Source organism: Homo sapiens, chromosome 4 (genome assembly GCF_000001405.40).
Source record: "Homo sapiens chromosome 4, GRCh38.p14 Primary Assembly".
NCBI lineage: Eukaryota > Metazoa > Chordata > Mammalia > Primates > Hominidae > Homo > Homo sapiens.
The window spans coordinates 80,326,991-80,345,535 of NC_000004.12; the positions used below are offsets into that span (position 1 = coordinate 80,326,991).

Sequence of the window (18,545 nt, forward strand, 5' to 3'; positions counted from 1 at the left end):
GTGCTGTTATTGATTCCTAGCATATAGTAGTGATCACTAGGCAGACGTTATCTTTACTACATAGAGTCTGCATTCCAACAAATGAACTTGACCAGTATGTGACTAGTATGACGCAGTGGATCATATAAAGATGTAATGAGGATTGACTTGGTTACTTTGGCCTGGGAGTTTAGTATATGCCCTAAGGTATCTTTGACATCCTGATATCAGAAGGACAAAAAGGAGCCAGCTATTCAAACACTGGGGCAGGGAAGGAGAGATGGCATTCTAGGCCAAGAAAACATGACCAAGCATAATAGATTCTGGGAAGAGAAAGAAAACAGCATGGCCATCAGGTAGAGTGGGATTGAGGTAGCGTGAAGTAAGAGATAAGACCAGAAAAATAGCCAGGGTGAGAAGAAATGTAGGGCTTCATAAGCCAAGGGAATGATTTTGGATTTTATTCTAACTGCAGTGGAAGTCAATGAGGATTTAAACGGGAGAGTGACACGATCTGATATGCATTTTTAAATGAAATTCTCTGGCTACTGTGTGGAGTCTGGATTAAGGAAGGCAGCAAAAGGGAAAGTAAAGAAGCCATTTAGGAGGCTATTATAGTTGTCCAGGCAAAAAAATAGTGGCTGGGTGCATTGAGATGAAATTAGTAAAAATGGAAAGCAGTGAATGGATTTTATATATACATATATATATAGAGAGAAGTTATATATATATATATATATATATATATATATAACTTCAATACATATATATATATATATGTTGAGAAAGCTAAACTAGCTGGTGGATTAGATGTGCAGTGTGAGGCAAAGGGGGAGAGGTTATAAATTAGAAGAGGTGTGGGCCCAGGATTAAGCTCTGGAACATTCAAACATGTAGAAGTTTAGCCAAGGTGGTGGAATTAAAAAGTTACACTAATAAGAACAGGTAGTATGAGTGCAGTATGAGTGTGGTATTATGGAAGCTAAGAGAAGAAGGTATTTTATGAATGACCAGCAAGCTGTGCTTCATGCCACTGAAAGGTCAAGTACATTACAAGTAGAGCCACATCCCTATGATTTGAAAACAAGAAAGTAATTGGCGACCTAGAAAAAAAACAATCTTAGTCAAGTGGTGGCCGAAAATTTTGGTTGGAGAAAGCTTAGAAGAGAACAGGGAAATGAGGAAGGGGTGATGATAAATATAGATTACTCTTTCAATAAGTTTTTTTAATAAGGTGAAAGTAAAAATGACAATAATTGAAACAAAACATGGGGTCAAAGGAGCTCACTTGTTTTAAAGACATGAGATTCTAGAATGTGCTTGTATGCCGTTGGGGTGACCCAGAGTGGGAGAAATGGACAAAGCTAGGGAGAATGTGACTAACAGCAGGATGAAATCCTTGAGAAGGTGAGAGAGGATGATATCCAGAGAATTGGAGGACATAGGTTGCATATGATAGGAATATTATATTCATCATAACAAAGGACAAGATTAATACCTAAGAACAAGTGTAGATAGGGTTGTATTGTGTGGGTAGGTAGGGGTGGGGGTGGAGTGATGCTGAAGGGAATGAGGAGTAAGAGAGAAGGAAGATGACAATTTTGAATAGGAAAAAAGGTGTAAAATAGACTTAAAAAAAAGAAAACAAACCACTAAGACAGTATGTTGGTATTGCCAAGTATGTTGAGACTCGTGGTCATGAATTAGTTTAGTAAAATCCTGTGCTTTGTTCCAGAAAACTGCACGATATGACAAAATTCCACTGTTTTCCTCTCTTCTGAGTGATTTCCTGTAGGCTAAATCTGAACAGTTATTGAAAGTTTAAGTTAGAATATTATCACAGAATTTTGAAGCTAGATGTGCCCTCAGAGCCCATCCAGTCCTAACTCATTGTTTTCCAGAATAAAAAATTATTTCCTATTGATTTCTTAAAACACATCATTCTTGCATTCTATGGTATAGAATCAACTTTTTTCTCATATATTTTCCACTCTGTACACCAAGCTTGTCAAACCCGCAGCCCGTGTGCCATGTGCAGCCCAGGACGGCTTTAAATGCAGTCCAATATACATTCATAGGCTTTCTTAAAACAATATAAGATTTCTTTTTTTGCGATTTTTCTTTAGCTCATCAGCCATTGTTAGTGTTAGTGTATTTTATGTGTGGCCCAAGATAATTCTTCTTCCAATGTGGCCCAGGGAAGCCAAAAGATTGGATACCCCAGCAGTACACTGTATACATATATATATATATATATATATGTTATCATTGCTCCTGTAAATTTTTATTTTTCTCACTTATTTACACATTTATATCTCCAATTTACTTAGTTCATCTTCTTCCTTTCCTTCATTCAGCCAACTACCAGTTCAGGTCCTCCTTCTGTCTTCCCTAAATGATAATATCCTTGAAGATTTAAAGAATCAGGTGTTATTTTTTGGTTGCACTCTCAAAGCCTAGCACAGTTCCTGACTCTTTGGTGACTTTACCTTACTGAGGTAATTTACATTACTGATTACTGAGGTAAATAAGTTTTACTTTTGTTTCAATAAGTGAGATTGAGTAGGAAAGATGGATCAAAACATTTTTATTGTGATTAATGAATCTGTAGCCAAAGAATATTTGATATCCTAGAGAAGTAGAGCTGAGCATGAGTTGAATTAGCTCTTAATGGAATTGGCACCACTTCCTTTAATGCTTCTCTTAGAAAGTCTAGTGATTTTTTTTCCCTTTCTATATCTGCTTAGTTGTGACTGGAGTTGTATTATTACCATGGCTGCAGAAATCTTGAGTACCTGACGAGCTTTGATATTGTACTCAGAAGCTAGAAAGAAGATGTTAGTTTAAAATAGATCAAGCTCTTAGGAATTCTATAGAGATTATCATGTAATTTAGAAGAGCTAAATATATTTCTCAGAGAGGCAGCCTATTTCCACCTCATCTCTGGGGTTTTAACGATGTCTCCTTTTATTTTCTTCTAAGGTTTTATCTGAATTTCTTTTTTACCCTCAAGTCAGTGCCTCATTATTTGAGTTTATTATGTACCAGGAAGGTTTCATTAAAAACCAACCATGCCATTGTATTTCTTATTTTGAGCAGGTAAAAGTTTGATCTAAAATGAAAATCTTCTGACTTTTGCTTCAGGGTAAAAAGTGTGCAATAAACTTGAAATCAGTCTCTGGCTATAAAATTCTTTCCCCAAAGCTTTCTTAAGTACATCTCCCCTGCAGCTACTCCTAATTTCAACCTCCCCTTTTCTTCTGTCTCCTGACCTAAGATGTCTTCCTACCTCCCCTCCAGTCATTTACTGCTGTCAGAATAATCTTTAAAACTATAGTTCTGATGATCACGTCTTTGCAAACACTTCTTTTGGCTTTCTTTTGCTTGGAGAGTATGATTAAAGCTTCTTAAATAGACAGACCACAGCGTGGTCTACTTTTAACTTGCCCTTCCATTTTTCTGCCCTCTTGCATATGTCCTGCACTTTAAATAAATTTCTCTTATCACCCTTCCCTGAACATACCTCTCGTTTTCTCACCTTGAAACTTTAGCACATGAGACTCAGTCACATGGACATTTATTCAGAGTCCCAGCTCCCCATCTCAGTACTTCATATTCAGCACAAAGGCCATGTCATCACATTTTCATGACAACTTCCAGTTGGAAGTAATTTTTCACTCATCTGAATTTGCATAGTGCTTCAAAATATCTCTTTATCAAAAAGAATTCTGACTTGTGCTGTTATTACATTGGTATTGCTAAGTGCCTTTCTAAAATGTAGGTGCTAAAATTTAGGTTGTTTTTCTTGATAGTCCTCATACGGATTGTAATGCCTTTCACCTTGTTTCCAAAATGAATCACTGAAATATATAGAAAAAGCATTTTATTCAGCAAATACTTTTGAGGGATCATTATGTTCCAGGTACTACGTTAGATGCTGAGGATATAGTGGTGAAGAGGGTTGACATAGTCTTTGCCTTTATGTTCATAGATTCTAATAAGCAGTATAGACATTTGTCAAATACTTTATAATAATCAAGATATTGCAACAAATGATAAGTGCATTAGAAAGTGCTCTGGGAACACAGGAGACTACTATATCTTGATCTCTATACCGAGATCTATAATAGGGAGCTAATAGGTAAATGGAAAAAGTGTGTACTGTGAAAGAATGTCCTAGGCAGAGGGAACAGCATGTTTGAGACCCAGCAGCAAAAGAAGTGGAGGCTCCTTTCAAAACTGAAAAAAGTCTGGTGTGGCTGGAACATGTAACGTGTGCAGTAGAGGGTATCAGATGAAGGTCAGGATGTGGAATGTCTTGTAAGCCATGTCAAAAAGACAAAACAAAACTGTACTTTATCCTAAGGGTAATGGGGAGCCAAAGAAGGTTTTTAAAAGAGGCCTGGTGAGATCCGTGTTTTTAAGCAAACACTAACTACATTTTGAAGAGTGGAATGGAAAGAGGCCAGAAGAGTATAGGGAAACCAGAAAAGATTATATTCTTGGAGTTTAGGTACCAGACTTTGGCTTAGGCAAGGAACCCATGTCAATTAGGTTGGAGAGAAATTTAAGCCTTCAAGAGAAGTAATTGAGAGGTGGAAATAACAGGCCTTACATTTCAGGGGTGACGGAGAAGTAAGGTTCAAGACTGTCTTCCATGTTTCTCACATGAACAACTGAGAGGAGAGGAACCTGTGTGTTGAAAGAGGGAACACTGGAGGAGGAACAAATTAGGAGGCACAAAAAGAGGAAAATTTTCATTTATACATGTTATACATCCAGTGGCATCTGCTAGGCAGTTAGATATGTGATTGGAAGAGTGACCTAGTTAATTATATAGATAGAGGAACCATATGCATGTAAGGCAGTAAGTAAAGCAATAAGTGTGGGTGAGAGCTCCAAGTAACAAAAGTGTAGAGTCAGCAAAGGGTCTAGGAGAGAACCCTGAGACTCTCCAATCTTTTAAAAGCTAGGTAAGGAGAAAAGGGGCTAGCAAAGAGAACTGAGAAGAAACAGCTAATGGAAAACCAACGAACCAACCAAACAACCAACTAACCAACCTCAGTGCAAAGTAATGTGACAGAAGCTAAAAGAGAATCTCGAAGAGAAGAGAGTGGTCACAGGGTCAAATGCTGCTAAATGTCAAGCAGTCTGAGGACAGAAAAAATGTCTATTGGGCCTAATGGCAAAGATGTCATAATTGACTTTGGTGAAAATCGTGGAGCAGTGCGTAAAAACAGACTGGAATATGTTGGGCAGAAAGTGGAAGGTAAGGAAATGGAGACAGTGATTGTAGACAGCTCTTTCCAAAAGTTTTGCTGTAAAGGGCAGGAAAGCCTATAGCTAACATTGTCTGTGGAGGTGAGGGTGATTTTTGGGATCATTTGCTTATTTTTAAAATGGGAAAGGAGCTGGGGTGGGGAGGGAGAGAAGAGATAAATTAACAACAAAGAAGAGAGGGAATAATTAAAATGAGAAACCCTGGGAAGACAGAAGGAGATTGAACCTGTGTAGTGAAGGTATGGAAGGAGGTAAATCTCTTCCTTTACACAATGGAAGAAGTAAAACGTTGATATGAATGTGAATAAGCTTGTATACAGCATTTGACTGTGGGAAATCTATTGTGATAACTTACTTCTTTTGGGTATAAGAGTTAAGTTTATCTGCTTTGAGAAAGGATGATATAAGATTAAGGAGAGAGGAGAAAGTGGAAAAAGCCATAGTAGAAGGTAAGAGTGAACTGAAGAAAAAGATAACATAGATTGTAGGGCAATGCTGGGCACCTGCTTGCAACTGGCAGCTCCACATTTATTGTGGTGGCCGTCTATTCACAGGTGCTATGTTCTGATTGTTTGCCCACTCAGGGGGAGTGGAGTTTTAGGGTAGAGGCTGATTTCCATGTAGCCAAAAAGCTTGAGGGAATTTTCAGTGAGGTTTTTGGTAATGCCTTATAGAGCCACAGAGAGCCCAAGTTTTTCTCTGTTCCAAAGTGGTGGTTGTGGTGATCATACCCATCATCTATCCCATAGCACAGTAGTAGTTTTCAATCTTTATTAGCTGCAGACATCTGTCAACCCCAGTCCTGGGAGGAATTCCATCTTATACTTGTATTTCTCTCTTCTGAAATTTTCCTTTCACACTGTCAATGACAAGGCAGGAGCAAACTCCCGGATTATGACACATGAACACATTGTGTCTCCAGGACAGAGAAGCAGTGGAACCAGAACTCCAGCATCCTAGAATAACTGAGACTGTGAGGAAGTCCAGCGATCTCATCACGAGAAATAGCTCAAGTAAATTTAGTATCACCATTGTTTCTAAGTGCAAAAAAGCTCTCCTTGGCTGATGATTAAGCAATAGCCCTCATCTGCAGTCATAGTTAACAAGCAGCTAGGCAACACCAGACACAAATCTCTTGTCCTATTAGAGTAAGTATATGTTTTTTTCCTACAATATGATAACATATTAATAGAACGTCTTAATAGATCCTCAAGTTCTTATTAACATAAGCAAAACATTCCCTTCCTGTCATGTCAACAAACCAAAGTATGTTTTCCTTTCACTGTGTCAGCTATCATAGTATATTGCCAAATATTTTGGAATATAAAAGTGTAGAGCTTAATTTGAAACTTTTTAATATACTTCCACCAAGTAAGTACCTTAAATCTGGCATATATTTTGTTATTCTTACATAACATATGTTTCCTCTTTCCTACATCTTGGGGTTTTATTATGAATATACTAATCCTTCTTTGTCCTTTTGCAAAGAATGGAATTTCTGGGATCGGTGCTAAATTCCAGGTTTCAGTCTTTAAAAATCTTGGACTTGAAGTAGGAATGCATGTTATCCAAAATAAAGTATTTCTTGATCATAACAAAAGCCTTGCAATGAAAAGAGAAGCTTGCCGAAACTTACTAATTTCTTTGTTGCCACCCTTTCATTTCTCAGGCACAGGTCTGAAAGTGGTTCTGAAGTTAAATTGAAAGTTTAGAAAAGGACAATTGAGTTATACGCACTATTAATTCTAGCCTTACTGTGAGGAACAAGGATAAGTTTATGAATTTTCTTGATATTAATAGAGAAGCTGATTTGCTGAAAATCAGCCTCAGTGTTTTGAGTTAGAAGACATTTCTAGACTCATTGACTGAAAATAATTTCATGATTGTTTAAATTTAGATGCTGTAGAGATTACTTCATCAAAGAGATGTTGACCAAATGGCAAATTTAATGAGGTTTCTCTAAAAAATGCACAATCACAATTGATATAATAGAACAATATATAGCCAAACCATGACCTCACATTTTACTAACATATAGGTCCTTTTCATTAAAGTGCTCTAGTTTAATAAACCCAAACATTCTCTAGATGCTTTACTGTTTCTTAAAAGTGATGAAATCTTGATATAGGAGGATTCTTCTGCCTCAGCTTCCTGAGTAGCTGGGATTACAGGCGCCCACCATCATGCCTAGCTAATTTTTGTAATTTTAGTAGAGACGGAATTTCACCATGTTGGCCAGTCTGGTCTTGAACTCCTGACCTCGTGATCCACCCACCTCGGCCTCCCAAAGTGCTGGGAGTCACTGTACCTGGCCTATTATTACTTTTGATGGGTTACCAGTGTCCAAGGTTTTATCTCCTTTTTGTTTTCCCAAATTCAATAATTAAATTGCATTCAAAAATAAGGCCCAAAATATCTTTAAAAACATGTCAGAATACATTCATTAAACAAACAAAAAAACAAGTTAGTAGCATCCTAAATATTGTGTCTATATCACTTAAAATTTGCAAGTCATGACATCCTAATTTTTAAGATGAACTTTTTAAATTAGGAAAGCTAACTGAAATGAAGTATCTTACCAGATGTTTTCATTAAAATTTTGTTAGCAAATCTGTGAAAATCTTCAAGATGAATTAGAAACGTACTTACAGAGCAACAATTAAAGGCTTAGCATTGTATTATATGCTAATTCCCAAGGATGGTTTGTAAAATATTAAAATCCAAAGATTGGTTCTGAACATATTTTGCCAGCTGTTGTGTTGGATTACTTTAAATTCATATTTTAAAAACACAATACTGTTCTGAAGAAAACAAAAAATCTTTAGTGAAAGACTTTATTTAATAAGATTTCACAGATATTTTATTCTTTAAAAAGGGCAGCTTCAACACAGCAAAATTTTTCACTGTGCTAAAATAGTAAAATAAGTGCAAGAACTTGGTGCCAAAAAAGGTCTGCAAAGACATTTTTTTGACTGAGTTTCTTTCCTTTGGGAATTTCATAAATTGCTTCTTGTACACAAACATTAGCAATAATTTACCTTTGTTATAACTTTAAAAATAATTTAACAAAATCATTATTTTATTATTGTCGTTGTCACAACACCATTTGATATACTTGTTTTTGAGACAGTCTTTTTGCAAAATGTCTCGGTATTTTTGTCTTGCATAACATTGTTTTAGAATGCAATTGGGAGCTAATTCCTAATATTTTGTCTAAGTATGTAGGCAGTGTCATACTTTTTAACTTTGGATTGCAGTTTGCACCTCTCTGGTTGCTCAACAGTTCACTGAAGCCTGAGTCGGTGGATGGGTATCCGACCTGAACTTGGGTGGGTAATTCCAGAAAGTTTTCACAGGAGTGAGGCAGAAGACAGAAACTGCAACAAACCGCCGGGGGGTGGGATTAACGTCCAAAGCTCACACCGGCTTCAACTGATTGGCAGGAACGAAGTGGGTGGAGCCTCCTGACCCTGCCCTCCTGCTTCCGTTGCTAGGGACGCTTCGGCCGAGGATACCGCAATGGATCAGGAAGAGGGGCTGAAGGCCTTGGACAATATTGTCACTCAATTCAACGCCTATGAAGATTTCCTGGACTCGCAGATCACTACTGTGGACTTGTACTACCTGGAGGTAAGGGCGGAGCGCGGCAGAGTAGCCGCCGCCGCGCGTCCCTCGGTCCCTCCTCGAGTTCCCGCTTCGTGGGCTGGTCGCCCCCTGGCGCTGGACAGCTCAGCTGTCAGGCGCCGCGGTTTCGGGACCGCGACACTAAAGCCGCTGGCGAGGTGAATTGCCGCGTCCTTACCGCCCCGCGCTCCCCGGTCCGGACAGAACTTGGGCCCCTAGAGTCACCCAGCGCAGAAACGCGCGGGCACACTCACACTGGGGAGCCATGAATTTGTGCTTCTTGGCCTCCCCTGCCTCCTCCCAGCCCACTCCCATTCCAAAGCCGCTCTCTGTGAGGAAGGAGGTCTGCTGAGAAGTCTCCGGCTGTGATCTAGGACAGACACCTGTTTCTCTCTGCTTTGCCAATTGGTATATTAAAGAACAGAAGATGGCATCTTTACACCAACCTAGTGTATTTGGTGTTATATTGGGCGTTTGGGTTCATGAACTTCCACCTCACACTAATTGATTCTGAAAGTACTTTAATTACAGAGACGCATTACAGGTAGTTGTGCAGACATATTCCTGATTCAAGTTTATCGAGTTGATGATCACAACTAACTTTGATAGTAAAAATATACACACAAAAAAGGAGCGAAACTGGACCTAATGGGTTGCTTTCCTCTGCCCAACAGCCAATCCCCTCCCCAGCTACCCCCGCTGCAGGGTGGTGGGGGACAGAGTGGAGTTCTTGTCCTGTGCCACGGGAGAACCCGGACGCGCAGGAATTAACAAGTCATCAGTGCTAGGAAGCTGGGAGGCGGACGATGGCTCCTAAAGTCCCAGTATATTCCTAGCCAAACTTCCCGGATAGGCCCACTGAATGGACACTCACCTGGAGAGTCGGCCGTGCTCTCCACAGGACCCAGAAATGCCTTATCCCTATTTAGGCCAGAGAGAACAGGCGCCACTATGTGGTGAAAAGCCACATCAGTCTGGGAAGGATTTGCATCCTGCCACCAGCTCCCCACACTTCTGAACTGCAACAAGGTAACTGCATTTTAGTGGATTGACACTTTTGGACTTCAAAGATTGGTTACAGAGGCATTTCACTTAAATATGGATTACAGGTTTCAAAAGTGTTATTCTTCAGTACATTTAAAAAATAAATGTAGGTGGTATTTCCAATATAGCTCCTGGCTTCAAAAGCAAAATTTTAAAACATTATACAGATAATATATTTAAAGTCATAAAAGTCAGTTTATGCCTTGCATCCAAGACACTGAAAAAGTAATGCTGCTAAACAATGTTTACATCTAAATTTTTGAATGTTTAAATAAACAAAAAATGAAATATACGCTATAAACATCTTGATAGACTAAAATCATCTTTGTAGCATATGTGGAAGATTGGCAAATTTAAACCTAGTATTATTAAGAAAGGTTTTAATATTTTTTAAGGCACAGTTCTTCATGTGAGTATGGACCTAAAACATTAATATTAATTACAGATGTGAAATTAATAATTTGTGTTTCATCAATCAGAATTTTTTTTTTTTTTTTTGAGATAGAGTTTCACTCTGTGGCCCAGGCCAGAGTGCAGTGGCCCCATCTCGGCTCACTGCAACCTCCGCTCCCCAGGTTCAAGTGATTCTCTTGCCTCAGCCTCCCAAGTTTCTGGGATTACAGGTCTGCACCACCATACCCAGCTAATTTTTGTATTTTTAGCAGAGACAGGGTTTCACCATGTTGGCCAGGCTGGTCTCGAACTCCTGACCTCAAGTGATCCACCGGCCTCAGCCTCCCAAAGTGCTGGAATTACAGGTGTGAGCCACCACACCCAGCCCATCAATCAGAATTCATTAAAGGTTTCCAAAATGGAAGGTGGTAATTATATTTGGGGAAATGACAAAGAAATTTACTTTTATATTTGGCATTGATTAAGCTTATTTTTGTTGTACTTTCATAAAAAGTAAGATGAAGATTTAGTTGAATAATGATAATTAGACAGGTATATATATGTTTACATATATATGTATATATTTGGATTGATTAGTGACAACTTTTAAAGTGCTATTATTTCTAGAGATCTACATTCTCAAATACTTTCTGTGGATGTAAGTTCATTGTGCACTTAGGTCACACAGAAACAAGTAGACTCCTCAGCATTCTTTCAGTAGTATGGCAAGCATGTTTCACAAATCATGGATCATGCTAAGTGAGCTGATACTTGTGCTTTTCCTCTCTCTCTCTCTCACACACATCATCATCATCAGTAACTGACTTTGATTTGAATGGAACAACTTTTAAAACATTTTATTTTAACTAACAAAATTGTCGATATTTATCATATACAACATGATGTTTTAAATTATATATATTGTGGAATGGCTAAATCAAGTTAACATATGTATTACCTCACATAATTATCATTTTTTTGTGGTGAGAACACTTAAAAATCTATTTTCTTGACATTTTAAAAGAACATAATATATTGTTATTAACTGTAGTCACAATGTTATACAAGAGATCTCTTGAATTTATTTGAATGAAACAAATTGTAAACTGTAAATTAGAGGTAGCATGTTTAGTTAGAAGAGGCTAGAGTCACAAGATTTTTTTTTGGTTCTAACTCTGCAATATTGTGTTTTTAATCAACTTGAAATTCCATTTTTTACCTACAAAATGAAACAGTTGGACTAGATTATTCAAGTTTCCTAAAGTATATAAAATGTTATGAGTTATCTATACTTTCATCTGATTATCTGTACACCCATGTATTTATCCAGCCACCTTTTTAGTCGATAATCCTTCACCAAGCGCCTGATGTAGTGGATATTGCCTACACTGCTAAGAGTTTAAGTAAGAATCTATTCTAGACTTGACCTCAGAAACCTAAGTATATAATGCTTACAGTCCGGTCTAAGTTTTATTTATTCAGCAAGCATTTTACAAACATTTACTATCTTCCAGGTACTCTTGTATTGTGTAGTATATTCTGCTCCCAAAAGTTTTCAGTTAATCTGCATAAAAAGTTAGTACCAATGATTGACATACAAATAATCATATAATCTGTGCCAGATCCATTCTGTGCCCCTGGACAATGACCTTCACAGTCATTAATCAGGAGCTTTTGGCTTTGGGTTGGTTTCAGCCAATAGGAGGTACCAACTGGAGTGCAGGGGGCTGGAAGGAAGTGGTTAGATAATTTATTCCCTGCCATCTTCCTACTGTCTGTGGTTTAGAAGCAGCTACCTTCCTTAGGTTTGGCCATCTTCTCATTCCATTAGCTATAGCACTCTCTCCAGGGTCTGGCAGCACTCCCTGCTCTAGGAATTGCTTCCTCCCTTATCTTCTTTTATGCCAAATGGTGTTAATGGCTTCCCACTGTTGCTAACCCAAGGATGCTTCACGATCCCATGTTGGTTTCCATTAATTTTGCCCGTATCTTTGTAAATAGTGCTTTTATTCTTTTTGGTCGTGAGTTTGCCAACAATTTGCTGCCATTACCCTGACCACAATATAATTATTTAACATCTCAGATCACAGTAAGTACACAAATAGTGTATGAATCTAATAACCACACAACTTTTTACATAATGCTTGCTTAGGAAGAAAGAGAAATGTGGAAAAAAGGAAACTAACCCCAGTTAATTATTTGATAAGCTAGAGAGGAGTAAGGTGGCTCAGAAGAATAAAAGAAGCACTTTATGCTATGTACACTGTGCTTTGCTTATTTTACTGAATAGCTTCAAAGCATCAAAAGAAATGCATCACTGTATCAGCAATTAGATTTTCCTCTGCTAACCCAAAGAAATATATTTGTTCTGGGAGTTAGTATTATCTAACCTAATTAACTTAATTCCCTAAATCAATATAGAAATAGTTGAAAAGTTTTGGCAAAATTATTACAATATAATTTTCCAGGTTCTTTCTTAGTAATTCTTCTATTTAAATAAACACAGGCCCTTTATTTTAATAAAGGTGCCTATGACCACTGGAAAAATAAAAGTCCTAATTAACCTGCTTTTCTCAGGTAAAGGATCAAAGAGTGTTGGAATTATTTAAAATGTCTCTGACTAATGGATAGCAGTAATGGCTAAAGTATTTACAGAGATAAACAACATGGAGTTTCACTTAGGGCATTGTCTTCCCATTATTTATAAAATAGAAATGGGGAGGGGCCAAGATGGCTGACTAGAAGCAACTGCAGTCCATGGCTGTCATGGAGAAGAATGAAAATGGAGAGTGAATTTGGCACCTTCAACTGAAATATCCAAGTTTTCACTTTGGGACTCACTAGGCAATCAACTCGACCCATGGATAATGAAGAAAAGCAGGGTGAGACAGAGCCAAAGGATCCCTCATTCCCAGCCAAAGGAAGCTGTGAGTGATTGTGCAACCCTGCCTTGGAAACCACACTTCTCCCACAGATCGTTGCAACCCACAGATCAGGAGATCCCCTCAGGAGGCCACTTTACCAGGGCCTTCCATCCAATACTCAGAACTGTGCAAAGTCTCAGCAGAGTAGTCACTCAGGCTCACACAGAGGCTCACACAGAGACCCAGGAGTTTTTCAGTCTCCAGCCTTGGGAATCCTGACAAGGTGGGAGTTTCATCCTTATATTCCTCTAGGAGATTCAGGGAGTCAAGCAGTGTCATTCTGCAGGCCCCACTTCCCTTGCACCTCACAAGCTAAGACCCACTCGCTTAGAATTCCAGTTGGCTAGTGCAGTAGACTGGAGACTGCCTAAGATGGACAAATTCCCAGGGGGACAGGTGGCTGACATTTTTGCAGATTGGGCAACTCAGTTCTAGCCTTCTGGCTCTGGGGAGTCTAGGTGGCCCTGACAGGAGGAGTCCCTCACCCCTCACAATGCAGCACAGCTGCTGTTCCAGAATGTGGCCATAACACTCCTTTATTTTATTTTATTATTTTTTTTTTTGGAGTTTCACTCTTTTTGCCCAGGCTGGAGTGCAATGGTGCGATCTCGGCTCACAGCAACCTCCGCCTCTCAGGTTCAAGCAATTTTACTGCCCCAGCCTCCCAAGTAGCTGGAATTACAGGTATGCACCACCACACCCAGCTAATTTTTGTATTTTTAGTAGAGACAGGGTTTCACTGTGTTGGTCAGGCTGGTCTTGAACTCCTGACCTCAGGTGATCCACCCGCCTTGGCCTCCCAAAGTGCCAGGATTACAGGTGTGAGCCACCGTGCCTGGCCCAGACTGCTTCTTTGAGTTAGATTCCAATCCATTCCTTCCCACTGGGCAGGGGCCTCCCTGCAGGAATTTCAGCAACTCCAGCCAGGGTTATACAGACAGAACTCTGATCTCTTCCTGGGAAAGAGCCTCTGAGGGGAGAAGCAGCCAATGTCTCTGCAGTTCAGTTGACTCAGCCTTTCTAGCTTGCTGGCTCTGGAGAGTCCAGGCAGTGTGGATGAGGAAGGATCCCCCAACGCAGCACACCTGCTCTACCAAAAAGCAACCAGACTGCTTCTTTCAGTGGGCTCTTGATCCCATCCTTCCTGACTGAGGTCTCTCAACAGGGGTCTCCAGACACCTCCTACAGGAGGGTCTGGGCCAGCAACAGGTCAGTACTCCACTGGGATGGAGCTCCCGGAGGAAGGAGAAGGCTGCCATCTTTGCTGTTTCACAGCCTTCACTGGTGATACCTTCAGGTAAGGGAAAAACCGAGGCACCTAGGGTCTGCAGTGATCCCCCAACAAGCAGCCCTATGGAAGAATGGCCTGAGATTTAAAAGAAAAATAGAAAGAAACAACAACAACAAAGACCCCATAAAAACCCCATTTAAAGTTCAGCATCTTCAAAAATTAAAGTTAGATAAGCCACAAAATGTGAGAAACAGTCATTGCAAAAATGCTGAAACTCGAAAAGCCAGAGTGCCTTCTTTTCCTCCAAATAACTGCAACAGGTCTCCAGCAAGGGCACAGAATTGGGCTGAGGCTGAGCTGCCTGAATTGGCAGAGGTAGGCTTCACAAGTTGGGTAATAATGAGCTTTGCTGAGCTAAAGGAGCATGTTGTAACCCAATGAAAAGAAGCTAGAATCATGATAAAACAGTACAGGAGCTGATAGCAAGAATAGCTGGGTAAGAGAGGAGCATCACTGACCTGATGGAGATGAAAAACACAAGAAATTCACAATGTAATCACAAGTATCAATAGCAGAATAGACCAACCAGAGGAAAGACTCTCAGAGATTGAAGACCATCTTTCTGAAAGAAGACAGGCAGGCAAGAACAGAGAAAAAAGAACGAAAAGGAACAAACAAAACCTGTGAGAAATATGAGACTATGTAAAAAGACTGAACCTACGACTGATTGGGGTACCTGAAAGAAACTGGAAGAACCGAACCAAGTTTGAAAACATACTTCAGGATATCATCCAGGAGAACTTCCTGAGCCTAAGAAGATAGGCCAACATTCAGGTTCAGGAAATACAGACAACTCTAGTAAGATATTCCACAAGAAGATCAACCTCAAGACACATAATCCTCAGATTCTCCAAGGTTGAAATTAAAGAAAAAATGTTAAAGGCAGCCGCAGAGAAAGGCCAGGTCACCTACAAAGGGAAACCTATTAGACTGACAGTGGACCTCTCAGTGGAAACCCTACAAGCCAGAAGAGATTGCAGACCAATGTTCAACATTCTTCAAGAAAAGAATTTCCAATCTAGAATTTCATTTCCAGCCAAGCTAAGCTTCATTAGCACAGGAGAAATAAGATCCTTTTCAGACAAGCAAATGCTGAGGAAATTCATCACCACCAGGCCTGCTTTGCAAGAGTTCCTAAAGAAAGCACTAAATATGGAAAGGAAAAATCATTACCAGCCACTACAAAAACACACTGAAGTACACAGTACACCAACTAATGACACTATGAAGCAACCACATAAACAAGTCTGCAAAATAACCAGCTAGCATCATGATGATAGGATCAAATTCTCACATAACAATATTAAACTTAATGTAAGTGGGCTAAATGCTCCAATTAAAAGACACAGAATGGCAATCTGGATAAAGAGTCATGACCCATTGCTATGCTGTATTCAAGAGACCCATCTCATGTGCAGTGACACACATAGGCTCAAAATAAAGGGATGGAGAAATACTTACCAAGAAAATGGAAAACAGAAAAAAGCAGGGGTTGCAATCCTAGTTTCTGACAAAGCAGACTTTAAAACAACAAAGATTTAAAAAGACAAAGAAGGGATGTACATAATGAGAAAGGGTTCAACTCAATAAGAAGAGCTAACTATCTTAAATATATATGCACCTAATACAGGAGCACCCAGATTCATAAAGCAAGTTCTTAGAGACCTACAAAGAGACTTAGAATTTCACACAATAATGGTGAGAGACATTAACACCCTACTGGCAATATTAGACAGATCATTGAGACAGAAAATTAACAAAGATATTCAGGACCTGAACTCAGCTCTGGAACTAGTGGACCTCATAGACACCTACAGAACTCTCAACCCAAACAACAGAATATACATTCTTCTCATTGTCACATGGCACTTACCCTAAAATTGATCACATATTTGGAAGTAAAACACTCTTCAGCAAATGCAAAAGAACTGAAATAATAACAGTCTATCAGACCACAGTGCAATCAAATTAGAACTCAAGACGGCTGGGCATGGTGGCTCACGCCTGTAATCCCAGCACTTTGGGAGGCCGAGGCGGGTGGATCATGAGGTCAGGAGATCGAGACCATCCTGGCTAACAAGGTGAAACCCCGTCTCTACTAAAAATACAAAAAATTAGCCAGGCGCGGTGGCGGGCGCCTGTAGTCCCAGCTACTCGGGAGGCTGAGGCAGGAGAATGGCGTGAACCCGGGAAGTGGAGCTTGCAGTGAGCCGAGATTGCGCCACTGCAGTCCGCAGTCCGGTCCGGCCTGGGCGACAGAGCGAGACTCCGTCTAAAAAAAAAAAAAAAAAAAAAAAGAACTCAAGACTATGAAATTCACTCAACACCACACAACTAAATGGAAACTGAATAACCTGCTTTTGAATGACTCCTGGGTGAATAATGAAATTAAGGTAGAAATCAAGAAGCTATTTGTAACTAATGAGAACAAGGAGACAATGTACCAGAATCTCTGGGATCCTGCCAAAGCAGTGTGAAGAGAGAAATTTGTAGCACTAAATGCCTGCATCAAAAGACTAAAAAGATCTCAAGTTAACAACCTGACAACACAACTAAAAGAACCAGAGTACCAAGAGCAAACAAACCACAAAGCTGGCAGAAGACAGGAAATAACCAACATCAGAGCTGAACTGAAGGAGATAGAAACATGAACAACTCTTCAAAAAAATCAACAAATCCAGGAACTAGTTTTTTGAAAAAATTAATAAGATAGATAGACTGCTACCTAGACTAGTAAAAAAAAAAGAGAGAGAGAGAGAATCAAATGGACACAATCAGAAATGATAAGGAAGATATCACCACTGACCCCACAAAAATACAACCATCAGATAATATTATGAACACCTCTTCGTGCAGAAAATAGAAAATCTAGAAGAAATGTATAAATTTCTGGACAAATACACCCTCCCAAGACTGAACCAGGAAGAAATTGAATCCCTGAGTAGAACAATAACAAATTCTGAAATTGAAGCAACAATAAACAGCCTACCAATCAAAAAAAGCCCAAGACCAGATGTATTTACACCTGAATTCTACCAGAGGTATAAAGAAGAGCTGATATCATTTCTAATGAAACTATTTCAAAAAATTGAAAAAGGGGAACTCCTCCCTGTTTATAAAGCCAGTATTATCCTGATACCATAACTTGGCAGATATACAACAAAAAAAGAAAACTTCAGTCCAATATCCCTGATGAATATCAATCCAAAATCCTCAATAAAATACTGGCAAACTGAATCCAGCAGTACATAAGAAACCTTATCCATCACAGTCAAGTTGGCTTCATCCTTGGGATGCAAGGTTGGTTCAACATAGGCAAATTAATAGATGTAATTCATCATATAAACATAACTAAAATAAAAAACCACATGATTATCTCAATAGATGCAGAAAAGACCTTCAATAAAATTCAACATCCCTTTATGTTACTCTCAGTAAACTAGATATTGAAGAAACATAAATCAAAATAATAAGAGCAATATATGTCAAGCCCACAGACAATATCATACTGAATGGGCAAAAGCTGGAAGTATTCCCCATGAAAACTGGCACAAGACAAGGATGTCCTCTCTCTCATTACTCCTATTCAACATAGTATTGAAAGTTCTGACCAGGGCAATCAGGCAAGAGAAAGAAATGAAGGGTTTTCAAATAGTGAGAGAGGAAGTCAAGTGATGTTTGTTTGCAGATGACATGATCCTATATCTAGAAAATCCCATTGTCCCAGCCCAACAGTTTCTTTTTGTTATTATTATTATTATTATTATACTTTAAGTTCTAGGGTACATGTGCATAACGTGCAGGTTTGTTACATATGTATATATGTGCCATGTTGGTGTGCTGCACCCATTAACTAGTCATTTACAGTGGGTATTTCTCCCAATGCTATCCCTCCCCCCTCCCCCCAACCCATGACAGACCCCGGTGTGTGATGTTCCCCTCCCTGTGTCCAAGTGTTCTCATTGTTCAGTTCCCTCCTTTGAGTGAGAACATGCAGTGATTGGTTTTCT

The 18,545-nt window shown here is 39.3% G+C and overlaps 1 protein-coding gene across 6 annotated transcripts in view, besides 1 other annotated feature; it reads left to right on the forward strand.

The window, feature by feature from the left end:
* The window catches only part of CFAP299 (cilia and flagella associated protein 299), a 642,486-nt gene that overhangs the window by 5,726 nt on the left and 618,215 nt on the right, over positions 1-18,545 (forward strand). For 4 of the 6 annotated variants that reach the window (XM_017007976.2, XM_047449975.1, XM_017007977.2 and 1 more), the window contains exon 2: positions 8,754-8,889. In XM_017007976.2, the coding sequence (XP_016863465.1) occupies positions 8,754-8,889 (136 nt within the window). Of the gene's footprint in view, positions 1-8,739; positions 8,890-18,545 lie in introns of those variants that run through there. The other 2 variants (NM_001206997.2, NM_152770.3) reach the window with 1 other exon arrangement.
* Positions 8,732-8,881: an enhancer, noted in NCBI's record as "active region_21654". NCBI's record gives its function as "activates an Ori minimal core promoter by ATAC-STARR-seq in GM12878 lymphoblastoid cells {active_cell/tissue: GM12878}" and the evidence as "EXISTENCE:reporter gene assay evidence [ECO:0000049][PMID:35858748]".